General features: G+C 39.4%; 1 pseudogene; it reads right to left on the minus strand.

The window, feature by feature from the left end:
• CYCSP7 (CYCS pseudogene 7) lies at positions 663–1,637 on the minus strand (annotated as a pseudogene).

Consider the following 14,236-nt stretch of genomic DNA (forward strand, 5'->3'; position numbering starts at 1 on the left):
CCAGTAGCCAGAGTTACTACAATGTATTCTACTGTTACAGGAGCAATAGGTTCATATGCCCACTGTGCATTGAGACAGCAGGGTTTGCAGCAGAGAAAGACATTAAAAATAGAAGCACAGCCAAGTGAGGAGATGGGAGAAGACCCTCAAATCCATCTCCCTGAGGAGTTCTGGTCTGGGATTTTTAAGGGGATTATGAAGGGCAGGGGCTGGAAAATTGAGGTCATTGATTGGTCAGGGTAAAGGGGATGAAATCACCAGGATCTGGAAACTGCATTCTTTGGTGAATCAGCTTCTTGTTGGGGTCCTGAAGACCAGCTTGCATCAGCTGTTTCATTAGTATGCAGGACCTAAAAGAATCTCTCTTTTTTTTTTTTCATGATCTGTGATTGTAATTATCTTAAGTCTTATGATTGATTACACATAATTTTTAAATTTGCGTATATCTCCTCTACTTTAATCCTTTAAGTTGGCAAAAGCACCATTCCTAATCACAAATACAGAACAGTTCTACAGTTTTATGTTTCTGAATGACTAAACAATCCTAAATTATAACTTAGTCTAACTTAGATAGTAAAGAATTTTAAAGTGATGCTTAACTTGCTACTATTTTTAAAGCATCTGACCTTATAGATCATCACATTTTATAAATGTAAGAAGTATTAAATGATCTTTATTCGATATTACACACAAACCACACTACAATGCCTTTCAATAGGTCAAAGGAACCATTTTAGATACAGGGAGTTGTAATCAGATCGGCACAGTTAAGGCCAAAAATATAAAGTAGACATTCCTACCTTATCTTCAGCTCTTGCCTTTAAGAGGCAAATGGAAACAAAACACAGGTGCATCTTACTTGGTTGTGAGACAGTGAAGGAATTTCCTCAGTATTTAAATATATTCACATAACCGGTTATATAAACCTAAATATAAAACCAATCTCCAATAGATTTTAAGATGGCATTCACCATCTTTATGAAAAGTTAAACATTACTAATGAAGCCCAATCATATCTTTAGAAGGGGTAAACAGTGATAGCTTTTACTGAATCAGAGTTACCATTAAAATAAAAAAAAAAAACTGAACATGTTCATTTAACCACAAGCCAGTCTTTAACCACAAGCCAGTCTTGGCTAAATCAGGACCGCCCAACAAAAATATTCTGTCAGTCATTCACGATCTGAATTCTGGTGTATGAGATCTATTAAATTATGGTACATAAAACAAAATCATTACACATTTTTGTTTTGTAATAAAACAGTGGCCAATTATTACTCATTACTAGCTATCAAGCCTGCCTTTTCTGCCTTCTTCTTAATGCTGGCAAAGATCATTTTTGTTCCAAGGATGCACTTCTTGGGATTCTCCAAATACTCCATCAGTATACCCTCTCCCCAAGTGATGCCTTTGTTCTTATTGGGGTCCATGTAAGAGAATCCAACAGCCTGACCTGTATTCTGCCCAAAGAGGCCATGGAGATTTGTCTCAGTCTTGCGCTTGCCTCCCTTTTCCACGGTATGGCACTGGGCAAACTTCTGAACAAAAATCTTATTGCCTTTCTCAACATCACTCATATTTAATTTTCTCTTTTGTTGCTGGCATTATGAAGGTTCCTGCTCAGAAGCTGGATGTCCTGCTTCTTGAGATATTCTTGAAAGAATATCTCAAATGGGAAACCTAATGTTTCACAGTGCTTAAGTTGTTATCTATAGAGCAGTTAAAAGGAATGATAATCTTTTTTTTTTTTTTGAGACGGAGTCTCGCTGTTGCCCAGGCTGGAGTGCAGTGGCGCGATCTCGGCTCACTGCAGGCTCCGCCCCCCGGGGTTCACGCCATGAGGAATGATAATCTTATAACAGGATCTGCATGATTCTTGGACAGTAGGTAGCTAAAAACTTTGAGGAAGCAGGTCTGAGAGTAGCTGATCTAATGATCAATGCTGAGTGTGCTGCAGGTTTGGTTAGTTTCCCATCTGCCCCTCTCTTGCTCCTTGATTAACTCTATAAAGTTCATAGGTATGGTGTCACTATAAAATGACCAGTTTCTAACAATAAAAATATATAAAGCATACAAAGAACAGGGAAATATGACCCATCCACCAGAGCAAGCAATGAAAACTGGCTATGAAAGTGACTAGATGTTGGATTTAACAGACAAATATTAAAAGTAGCTGTTACAAACCTGTTTAAAGAGGTAAAGGGAACCATGACTAAAGAAGTAAAGGAAGTATGATGACAATGTTGCATAAAGTGTAGAATGTCAATAAAGAGATAGAAATTACACACATATGTGTATATATACACGCACACATACACACACACACAGATGCTCCTTGGCTTATAATGGATAAGTCCATTGTAAGTCAAAAATATGAAGAGTCAAAAATGTATTTTTGCTGGGTTTGGTGGCTCATATCTATAATCCAAGCACTTTGGGAGGCTGAGGTGGGAGGATCACTTGAGCCCAGGCATTCGAGACCAGCCTGGCAACATAATGAGAACCCGTCTCTATAAAAAAATGCATTTAATATCCTGATAAACTAATCACAAAGTCAAAAAATGTAAATCAAACCATTGTAAATCAGGGACTGTCTGCATATAGAACTAAATGGATAAGTAGAGCATTAAAAAGTACAATAACTGAAGTAAAAAATTCACTTGAGTCTCAACAGTTGACTTGAACTGGCAGAAGAATTAGCAAATTTAAAGATATCCCAATACAGATTATACAATCTGAAGAGCAGAGAGAAAAAAAAAGAAGAGTACCTAACAGAAAGTTTATACCTTTAATATACCATTAAGCATATTAACATACATATAATGAAGGTACCAGGAGAGGAGAGAGCAAAAGAAGCAGAACAAAGAGTTGAAGAAATAATGACTGAAAACTCCCCAAATTTGATGAAAAATCATTAATCTACACAACTAGGAAGCTCGATGGACCTCAAATAGGATAAATGCAAAGATATTCACAAATAGATACATCACCATAAAAATGCTGAAAGCCAAAGACAGTGAGAACATCTTGAAAGCAGCCAGAAAAAAAAAAAAACAATCACTGTCCAAGAATCATGCAGATCCTGTTATAAGATTATCGTTCCCCTTAACTGCTCTATAGATAACAATTTAAGCACTGTAAAATATTAAGTTTTCCATTTGAGATATTCTTTCAAGAATATCTCAAGCAGGACGTCCAGCTTCTGAGTGGGAACCTTCAAGGAAACTCACAAGGAAACTCTTATAAGATTATCCACTGACTTCAGTACAAACAATGAGAGCCAGAAGGCATTAGGATAATATAGTCAAAGTGCTCAAAGTAAGCAAAAAAAAAAAAAAAAAAAAAACTGTCAACAAAAAACCCTATATTCAGCAAAGCTATTTTTCAAAAATGCAGGCAAATAGAGCTTTTTTTTTTTGAAAATGCAGGCAAATATCTCATAGATAAGCAAAAAAGGAGAGTATTTGTTATTGGCAGAGCTGCCTTACAGAAAACACTAAAGAAATTCTTCAGGCTGAAAACAAATTATCCCAGACAGTAACTTCAATCCCCATGATAAAGCACAGACCACCAGGAAACATAATCATGTAATTATAACATACAGTATAAATGCATATTTCTTCTCTTTTATTCCCTTAACTGTTTTACAAAGTAATTGTATAAAACTATATATGTGTGTATATATGATATAAATTATATACATAAGTTAGAAATTATATACATGTGTGTATATGTATATGATGTGTTATGAGGGGTCTATAATATATAGAAATATATGCCAATAACAGCACAAGTGGATGAGAGAAAAAGTGTATTTGGCTGAGAAAATGACTCCAGCTAGCAACTCAAATCCAGGCAAATAAAGAGAGCCAGACATAATAAATAAGAAGACTGAAATAACAAAAGCTACACATATATACTTACTTTTTTTCTTTCCTTCCTTAACTTCTGTATTAGTTTTCTGGGGTTGCCACAACAAATTATCACAAAACTAAGTGGCTTGAAACAATGTAAGCTAATCCTCTCACAGCTCTGGAGGCTACAAGTCTGAAATCAAGGTGGTAGCAAGGTTGAGTCCTCCTGCAGGTTTCTGGGGGACAATCTGTTCCATGCTTCTCTCTTAGCTTCTGGTGTTCAGCAATCTTTGACATTCCTTACCAGGTAGATGCATCACTCCAGTCTGCCTTCCCTGTGCTTTTCTTCTCCTTGTGTGTCTCTGTGTCTTCACATGGCATTCTCCTTTTTATGTCTTTCTCACTCCTCTTCTTGTAAAGACACGACTCATATTGGGTTAAGGGCCTACCCTACTCCAAAATTATCTCATCTTAACTAACTATGTTTACAATAAGCCCATTTCCAAATAAGGTCATATTCTGAGGTTCTGAGGCTTAGTACATATCTTTTGGGGGAACATAATTCAACCCATAACAGCTCCTTTAAAATACATAAAATTATAAAAATAATAATTATTAAAATGTAGTGTTACATGTTTAACATTAGTTTATGTATAAAAATAATGCCCCAGAAAGTGAGGAAGTGAATAGAGCTATAGCAGTGACATTTTTATATCTCACTGGAATGAAGTTAGTATGAACAAAGTTGTCAAAGCTTTAACTAGAATTGCCAAGAAAAAAAAGAAGGAAGACAAAAAATACTAGACTCAGAAATAAAAAAGGACATCACAGAAATAGAAAAGATTATAAAGAAATATAATTTGTGTGTCAATAAATGGATAATTTAGATGAAATGGACAAATTCATTATAAACTCATAAACTACAAAAACTGATAACAAATAGACAATCTGAACAGACCAATAGAAAAGAGGTTGAATTAGTAATAAAGAACTCTCTACAAAGATAACCACAGGACCAGATGGATTCACTAGTGAATTTAACCAAACATTTAAAGAAGAATTAATTCCAATTATTAACAAACTCTTCCAAAACATTTAGAAAAAGGGAAAACACTTCCCAACTCATTCTATGAGGCAATTGCTTCCGTGATACCAAAACCAAAGACATCATGAGAAATTGATAGACCACTATTTCTTATGAATATAGACATAAAAATCCTCAACAAAATATTGAAAAACTGAATCCAGAGTTGTATAAAAAGGATTATATATCATCACCAAGGGGGAATTTTCGCAGGCACACAGTGTTTTTTTAAACACTGGAACATCCATTAAATTAATATGCCAAATTAGTAGAAGAAAGGAGAAAACCATTGATTATCTCAATTGATGCAGAGAAATCATGTGATAAAATCTGACAGCATCTTATGATAAAAAGCACTAAACAAACTAGCTATGGAACTTCCTCCATCTGACAAAGGGCATCTACAAAAAGTTCGTAATTAACATCATACTTTATGGTGAAAGACTGGATGCTGTCTCCCTAAAATCAGGAACAAGGAAGGAATGTCGTATCTTACCACTTCTATTTGATGTTGATTGCTACATGCTACAACATGGATGAACACTTTGAACACTTACACTTAGTCATAAAAGCCAGACATAAAATATCACGTTATATGATCTTATTTATATAAAATGTCCAGAATAAGCAAATCTATAGAGACAGAAAGTAAATTAGTCATTTCTCGGTGAGGGAAAAGGTGGGGAAGAAACAGAGGATAATAGTGAAAGAGTATGGTGCTTCTTTTTGGCTTGATAGAAATGTTCTAAAATTGACTAGGTAGACAGGTGCACATACCAATTATACTCAAAACCATTTAAATTGATAAATTGTATGATATATGAAATATATCTCTGTAATAGAGATATTATAAAATTATTTTCACAAAAGCACTTTTCAAACAATTTGACATTTCCCTAATCCACGAAGGAACGCTCAACAAAAAATTAAAAATTTTGTCTACAGTCTGAATTCACTACCACAGTTTAGTGATATGGTAATCATTAAAAGGACTTAACAAGCAAACAAAATACGAATTTCTAGCAACTATACATATTTATGTTAAAGGTATTTTTAAAAATACATCTAAAAAGAATGTCAAAGTCAAAATTCTTTAGGACTAGACAGCAAAAAGACCTACAACTCAAAGACTGTGCTGAGAGAAAAATTAGAGCCTTGAAGAAAATTTTAAAAATTTTAAAATTTCTCTCAGGGAAAAAAAAAGAAAAAAAAAGCAAGAAAATAAACTTAAAGAAAGTGGACTAAAGTAATCATAAAGGAATGAACAAAAATTAATAATAGAAAATAAAATAAAACAGTAGATTTGACTAATAAAAGTCGAAAGCGCTGGGCGCGGTGGCTAATGCCTGTAATCCCAACACTTTGGGAGGCCAAGGCGGGCAGATCACATGAGGTCAGGAGTTCAAGACCAGCCTGGCCAACATGATGAAACCCTGTCTCTACTAAAAATACAAAAATTAGCCGGGCATGGTGGCGGGCACCTGTAGTCCCAGCTACTCAGGAGGCTGAAGCAGGGGAATTGCTTGAACCCGGGAGGTGGAGGTTGCAGTGAGCCGAAATTATGCTACAGCATTCCAGGCTGAGTGACGAAGTGAGACTCCGTCTCAAAAAAATAAAAATAATTCAAAAGACCAACATCATAAGACCAACATTTGAGAAGACCAACATCATAGACAAATATTTAGAAGTATAATTAAGACAAAAACCAGAAAGAAGACAGTAATGAAAAACAGAAGCAATGAAAGGAGGCTTAACTACAGATACAAAAGAGTTTTTTAAAATTAGAAATTAATATTTCTTTACTTCATTGAATTTGCAAGCTTAGATGACATAGGCAACTCACAGGATTATAAAAGTTCCAAAGTTGGTCCAAAGTGGAGTAGAAAGCTTATGCAAACCAACAACCATAGAAAAAAATGAAATAACATTTGAAGAGGTATTCTGTCTGCCAAAGGTTCAAGGCCCATATGGTGGTTTGGGGTGTATTTTCTAAAACCTCCAAGGAACAAATAACTCATAGCTTATGCAAACTGTTCCAGGGCACAGAAAAAAAAGGGGTGGGGGGACAGGCAGGTGATGCTAACCAGCTCCAGCTCATTAGGAGCCCAGTATAATCCTGTGCTCAAATGAGACAAAAGAAGGACAAGAGAATTTCATCTTTCTGGTTTTCAAAAACTGGTTCAAAATCAATGAGAACACTTGGACACAGGGTGGGGAACATCACACACCGGGGCCTGTTGTGGGGTGGGAGGAGGGGGAGGGATAGCATTAGGAGATATACCTAATATAAATGATGAGTTAATGGGTGCAGCACACCAACATGGCACATGTATACATATGTAACAAACCTGCATGTTGTGCACATGTACCCTAGAACTTAAAGTATAATAAAAAATAAATAAATTAATTTAAAAAATTGGTTGAAAACTATGGTTAGTGATACTTCTTGTAATTGTCCTATTCTGTCTGCTCTGTTTATGATGCTTCCTCCTGTAGGTTCCTTCCTCCTGTAGGTTCCTTGTGGGCCTTGCTGCCCCTGTTTATGGTGCTGTTTCCCCTCAAGTGTCTCATGCTCCTTGGTTGTGAGGTTTGAGGTTCCCTGCTCCCATGTCATTAACTGCTGTCTCTTTGCAGTGCCCTGCCTCCAGTGTTTGAGGGGAAGGAGGAGGCATGTCTCTTTGGGAGGAAGGTGTGTAGCAGCTCATCTCCTGAGTCCGAGGCTCCCTGTTCCTCTTTTTTTCTTTTCTTTTCTTTTTTTTTTGAGACAGAATCTCGCTCTGTTCCCCAGGCTAGAGTGCAGTGGTGCAATCTTGGCTCACTGCAACCTCCGCCTCCCGGGTTCAAGTGAGTCTCCTGCCTCAGCCTCGCAAGTAGCTGGGAGTACAGGCATGTGCCACCACATTCAGCTAATTTTTGTATTTTTAGTAGGGGTGGAGTTTCACCATGTTGGTCAGACTGGTCTCAAGCTCCTGACCTCAAATGATCCACCCACCTTGGCCTCCCAAAGTGCTGGGATTAGAGGCGTGAGCCACCGCGCCCAGCCTCCCTGTTCCCCTTGAGCTATGTGGAATCTCCAGCCCTGGGGCACATCCACTCATTACTTTGAGCTGAGGGCAAACACCTCTGCTGTTACCTACTTGGCACAAGCTTGGCAAAGGGCCAGACCTAACTGGGAACTCTGAATGTCGTTCTCGACCCAATCGCTTTTCAGGTTTCCCAGGTTCCCTGCTGCTCCCTGTGTCCAATGTCCCCGAACTTGGAACATTCCCAGAGTAGTGGCCACTCTTTTGCTGCCACAGCCCTTTCTGGGTTTGAGGCTATCATTGTCTTCATTAATCATATTCTGTCTGTTTTCTGTTTCGCAGGGATTACCTAAAATTTGCCTTCAATTGATGACCCTTTTTCTTTTCCTGGCACTAACAGCATTGCTATTAATTTGCTTTACTAGAAAGGTATTCGGTCACTTCCTCTCAAGTTTGGCCTTTGGTCAGTGGGGACCCATACGGGTTCAACATGCTTGTTGAGAAGTGTTATTTCTGTTCGGGGCCCATCTACCCTGGCCACGGCATGATGTTCACCTGCAACAATTCCAAGGTGTTCAGATTTTGCAAATCTAAATTTCACAGAAAGACATTCTTCTGCTATTGCTAGGGAATGTTCTTTCTGCTTCACTGTGCTGCTTTGCCCCCAAGTGTCTGATGTTTCTTGATTGCGCATCACTCATTATTAGGTCTGAGATTCCCTGTTCGCTTGTTGGTAGCTGCTGTTCTTGTTTGCTGTCTCCTGTCCCCAGTGTTTTAGGGGAAGGAGGAGGACTTGTTGCCTGGGTAGGTGGGCAAGAAGAAAGTTGCAAAGAAATAATGAAAGCAAAGGGAAGGAGAGGTAGGTGGGTGTGCTCAGCCAGCCCCTTTGATCTAATCTTTATATCTATACTAATTTCAAGGTGCTTTTAGTTATAAACTACATGTTGTTCTAACACTGAAATAGTGAACTAACTTTCTTAAATTGGTAAAATAGGTACTTATACCAATGTTACTTAAACAATAGAAATAAAAGTAATATTATTACTGCTTATCTGGCAGCACAGTTGTCAACTGGTTTCACCTTACCCCCTTAAAGCCTACCTCTTTCTGTTTCTCCCTCTCTTATGTGGCACATTCAGTGCTCTTGGCGTCCTCAGTGAAATCAGCTCTTTGCTCACCCAACACATCGAGATTCTCAACTAAATGAGAAGAGCATCCTGAAATGACTTCCTACAAGAGGTCCAACTTCTCCACAATTATGTTTGCTTAAATTTACATTTTTCTCATTTACCAAGAGGATATACTAAATGATTAGTTGATTTTAGAATGTACATTCTTAAGGGCCAGAGAGTTCCTATCACTAGATTATTAGCTCTTTGCAGATCATATATTATTAAGCCCTACAAAGGGGTGTTATTTGATGGTGATGATGACAGGGATGATGCTCTATGCAGTGTATCCTTCTGAAAGAGAGCCTGGTAGTGTCCATTTATCAACCTCAAAGTGCTGTGTAAAACCAAAATATTCTACTCTCATCATTAAATTCTATACTTTATTATTTACTATAGCATCTAAGATCTTCTTGATCTTAAGCACATTTTTAGCCTGTATCACCTCCTAAACACAAACATTCAAGGAACTATAGTTAGTTTTTATAGCATTATATCCCAGGATGGTAGCTGGCATTATTGTGTCTACTGAAAAGTACTAAGGAACACACAAAGGTGAAGTAATTAATCATATGCCAAGACAGCAAAAGAACCGCAATGACATGTTTTAGGTGTAGAAACCCCTGTTCTACCTAGTAGACTCGGTGCCAGCCCCTCGGCAAGCACTGAGCACGCCCGTTCCTCATTTTCACAATCAAACTTACCTACCATTACATCAAGAAGACATGCTGATTCCCAAATGAGCAGGACTGGCTGAACATTAAAGCCAAATGATGGATGAGGAGTCCCTGTGGGATGGTGCTATGAACACGGGCCACCACAATTAACATCACGATCACTGTCGTTACATACTGGCCCTTGGCAGACAAGTTTTCACCATCAGGCCCAGATTTACATGATTCAAAGCGTATAAAAATAAACTATGAACAACATCCCACCTGCCTGGGACACAGATGCACATTGAACAGGAGATGGCGTGGATTTCTGTATGAAGTGGCCATTAGTCATTCTACAAGTACAGACCTTGTTGCCAGGAGTGGAAACAAGCCATCATTAGTGTTAATGGAGTTATTGGTTGAGTGGTAATGAGGCTATTGATTGGACAACAGCTCTGTGGCCTTTTTTTCCCTCTTAGAAGTCCCTGAACCTGAGCATGTACAGCATTACAATGGAAATTTCTCGCACCAAATCCTTTGCATGTGTCCTGGTAAATCTTCTTCACAAAGTAGTTCTTATATGTATAACTCAGTTTCACAGATCTCGTAGATATCGGTTGGCATTCTCCAGAATCATGTGGCAAAAAAAAAAAAAAAGCAGGAAGCAGGCTAAAAAGAAATTAGACATAGGCTGGGCATGGTGGTTCATGTCTGTAGTCCCACACTTTGGGAGGCCGAGGTGGGTGGATCACAAGGTCAAGAGATGGAGACCACCCTGTCCAACATGGTGAAACCCTGTCTCTACTAAAAATACAAAAATTAGCTGGGCATGGTGGTGTGCGCCTGCAGTCCTAGCTACCAGGTAGGCTGAGGCAGGAGAATTGCTTGAACCCGGGAGGCGGAGGTTGCAGTGAGGCAGGATTGCGCCACTGCACTCCAGCCTGGGAGACAGAGCGAGACTCTGTCTCAAAAAAGAAAAAAAAAAGAAAGAAATTAAAGACATAAAGCAAGCCTACCCATTTCTACTTCACATTACAGCTCTTTCCACACCTGGTGCCCATTTCTCAGATTCTCTCACTATACACCTTCCTGCCCTTTATTCCTGGCATTAAATGACTGTATCTGCCAGGGTGTTCCCAGCCAGGTACGTTCACATGCAGATTCCCACAAGTAATTGTCACCCAGGCTGGAGTGCAGTGGTGCGATCTTGGCTCATTGCAACCTCCGCCTCCTGGGCTCAAGCGATTCTCCTGCCTCAGCCTCCCAAGTAGCTGGGATTACAGGTGCCTGCCACCATGTCCAGCTAATTTTTAGTATTTTTAGTAGAGACAGGGTTTCGCCATGCTGGCCAAGCTGGTCTTGAACTCCTGACCTCAAGTGATCCACCTCAGCATCCCACCTCTGCATCCCAAAGTGCTGGGATTACAGGTGTGAGCCACTGCACCTGACCCCCACAAGCATTTTTAAAGCCATCTGCCATTAATACCACAAAGACAGAATCAGCAGGATGCTGTGTCTTTGTGCAGGAGAAACATATCTCAGGTGATACAGGCTGAAGGTTGTCAGTGAAGTGTGTACACGATAACATGGGAAGCAAGAAAGCAGTCAATGTGTGGAGCAGAAGGCTTTTAAAGGAAGAAAAACCCTGCTGCATTACATAAAAGCAAAGAATACACTTTATATATCTTTGCCAAGAACGGAAGCTATAGCTGTAGGCTTACTGAAACCAACCTGAGTTATATGGTATGTATATACACGTACACACACATATAAAGCTTTTTCTGAATATCTTGATTTTACTGTTTGCTGGGTTCTTATCAAGCAAGAACATCATCTGGAGAATAATCTGCAACTTTGAGCAATCATTGAATAGAAAAATTGCTCACAAATGCTCCCTGCATTTAGTTAGATGGGTTTTGTTGAAGCTGATGAGCACAACTCTGCCAGGCACTGAGAGGCCTCTTTTTCTAAAACTCCCTCCAAAGCCCTGAGGAGCCTCTATTCAGGCCAAGGTCGGCTAACACCCCTGTGGCTGAGAGTTGCTTTCTTCACTGCAGGTGAAGATACCCCTTTGTAACTGGAACGGCTGCTCTGGGCCCACCACAGGTCACCATTCCTTTCAGAGGAAGACATACATAGTTAGTGTGACTTGTCCCAAGTATTGCTGGGGCAGGCTCCAGGATGGGTAAAATCATGGTGAAACCATACAAAGACCAAAGCAAGGCGTTCCAGATTTCAAACAAATCACTAACACCACCACCACCACCACCAACAAAACCCTGTGGGTTTTAGCAGCCTTTTACTAGGAATTATCTTCTAGGGAGGGAAGCTTTGCATTGTTTTTGAACTTATGATTTAATAAAACAGACAAAATTTCTGTTCCCGCAGCTCTGAGATTTTTGGTGATTTCTGTACACTTGTTTTCCCATTCTCTACCTGCTCTTCAACAGAGAAAAATCTGACCACGTATGTCCTAGGCCTAATCTCCGAACAGCGGTGTTTTGTAACTGTCATGATTGTAGCTTCGGAGAGTACCTTGGTGAGTTTCCCCAAGTGAGTTTACAGAAAGGGAACCTGGCTTTAGCAGGAGCTAGAATAGGAAACAGCGCCCCCTGGAGGAACATGGGGAAATGAAACTGGCAGAGAAACTTCCAAGTGGATAGCTTTGAATGGTAGCCCAAGAACCTCCCTCATTTGTTGCACTTCCTGTTCTTTGATGCCCCTCACTGTAAAATGGGTACTCTCACTTCTGCCATTCTGTTCATCTTCTTATGCTTGGAAGTGTGTAAAATACTATGCAGATCAGAGGTTCTGGACACTTTCCTCCTCAGGAACCACCTTTGATTTATCCAAAATTATATACATCTTCATATTTGCCTCTTTTTAGGATCAATGGGAGGTAACATTAACGGGAATGCTGGAATTGTGAAACATCAGGTACTTGGTGAAAGTGAATCACAAGGCTTCATGCAGACATGCTGGGGAGAAGGATTGTCAGCCTCTTCCCGCTTTCCACATCAGCTGTCATGGGGCTGCCCAGGGCAAGCATGGCCACACCCTTCTAGACTCTGGTCTAGAAGTCTACAGCTTTTGATCATAATTGTCTAATATGTACATATATATTTTTTTCTTTGAGACGGAGTCTCGTTCTGTCGCCCAGGCTGGTGTGCAGTGGTGCAATCTCCGCTCACTGCAACCTCCGCCTCCTGGGTTCAAGTGATTCTCCTGCCTCAGCCTCCCAAGTAGCTGAGATTACAGGCACATGCCACCATGCCCGGCTAATTTTTATGTTATTTTATTTTTAGTAGCGATGGGGTTTCGCCATGTTGGCCAGGCTGGTCGCGAACTCCTGACCTCAGGTTATCCACCTGCCTCGGCTTCCCAAAGTGCTGGGATTACAGGCGTGAACCACCACACCCGGCCATAATTACTAATATTTAAGGATCAACTGTAGACTAGAAAATATGTTGCTGTTATTTTTATAATTAACCTTTTAGTTTTCAGATAATTTATCAGTGCAATTTGCCTATGGCTAATTCTTTAGTTTTATTCTCTCTGTAACATGGAAGTTCAGCCTAGTTTTGCCCTTTGGAAAAGCCATAACATTGATTTTCTTTTCATTAGAAAAAAACATATTTATTACCGGCAATTCCATGCCTAGGTATCCCATGGAAGTGGAAACATATACCTACACCAAGTCTTGTATGCAAGTGTTCATAGCAGCATTATTCATAAGAGCCAAACCTGGGAAACAACCCAAATGTTCATCAAATGGTGAATAGATAAAATTGGTATCTCCATATAATGGAATTCCCACAGCAGTAAAAATGAACTAATTTCTTTTTTTTTTTCTTTTTTTTTTTTTTTTTGAGACAGGATCTCACTCTGTTACCTAGGCTGAAGTGCAGTGGTGTGATGTTGGCTTACCACAACCTCTGCCTCCTGGGTTCAGACAATTATCCTGCCTCAGCCTCCCAAGTAGCTGGGATTACAGGTGCCTGCCACCATGCCTGGCTAATTTTTGTATTTTTAGTAGAGACGGGGTTTCATCATGTTGGCCAGGCTGGTCTTGAACTCCTGACCTCAATGATCCACCCACCTTGGCCTCCCAAAGTGCTGGGATTACAGGTGTGATCCACCGCGCCCAGTCTATGAACTAAATATTGATACATGCAGCAATACGGATGGATCTAAAAGACTATACTAAGGGAAAAAAGCCATACTCAAGAATTTATACATCATATTAATTCATTTATGTGAAATTTCTAATAAAGGCAAAAACAGAAACAGGAGGAAGAAGAGTGGTTGCCTGGGCCTAAAGCTGGACCTCAAATGGGTATTTAGGAGATTTTTTGGGTAACAAATGTGTTCTAAAACTAGATTGTAGTAATAGTCGCAAAAGTACATTTACTAAAACATAGAACTGCATACTTATAAAAGGTAAAATTTA

Source organism: Homo sapiens, chromosome 2 (assembly GCF_000001405.40).
Source record: "Homo sapiens chromosome 2, GRCh38.p14 Primary Assembly".
Taxonomy (NCBI): Eukaryota; Metazoa; Chordata; class Mammalia; order Primates; family Hominidae; genus Homo; species Homo sapiens.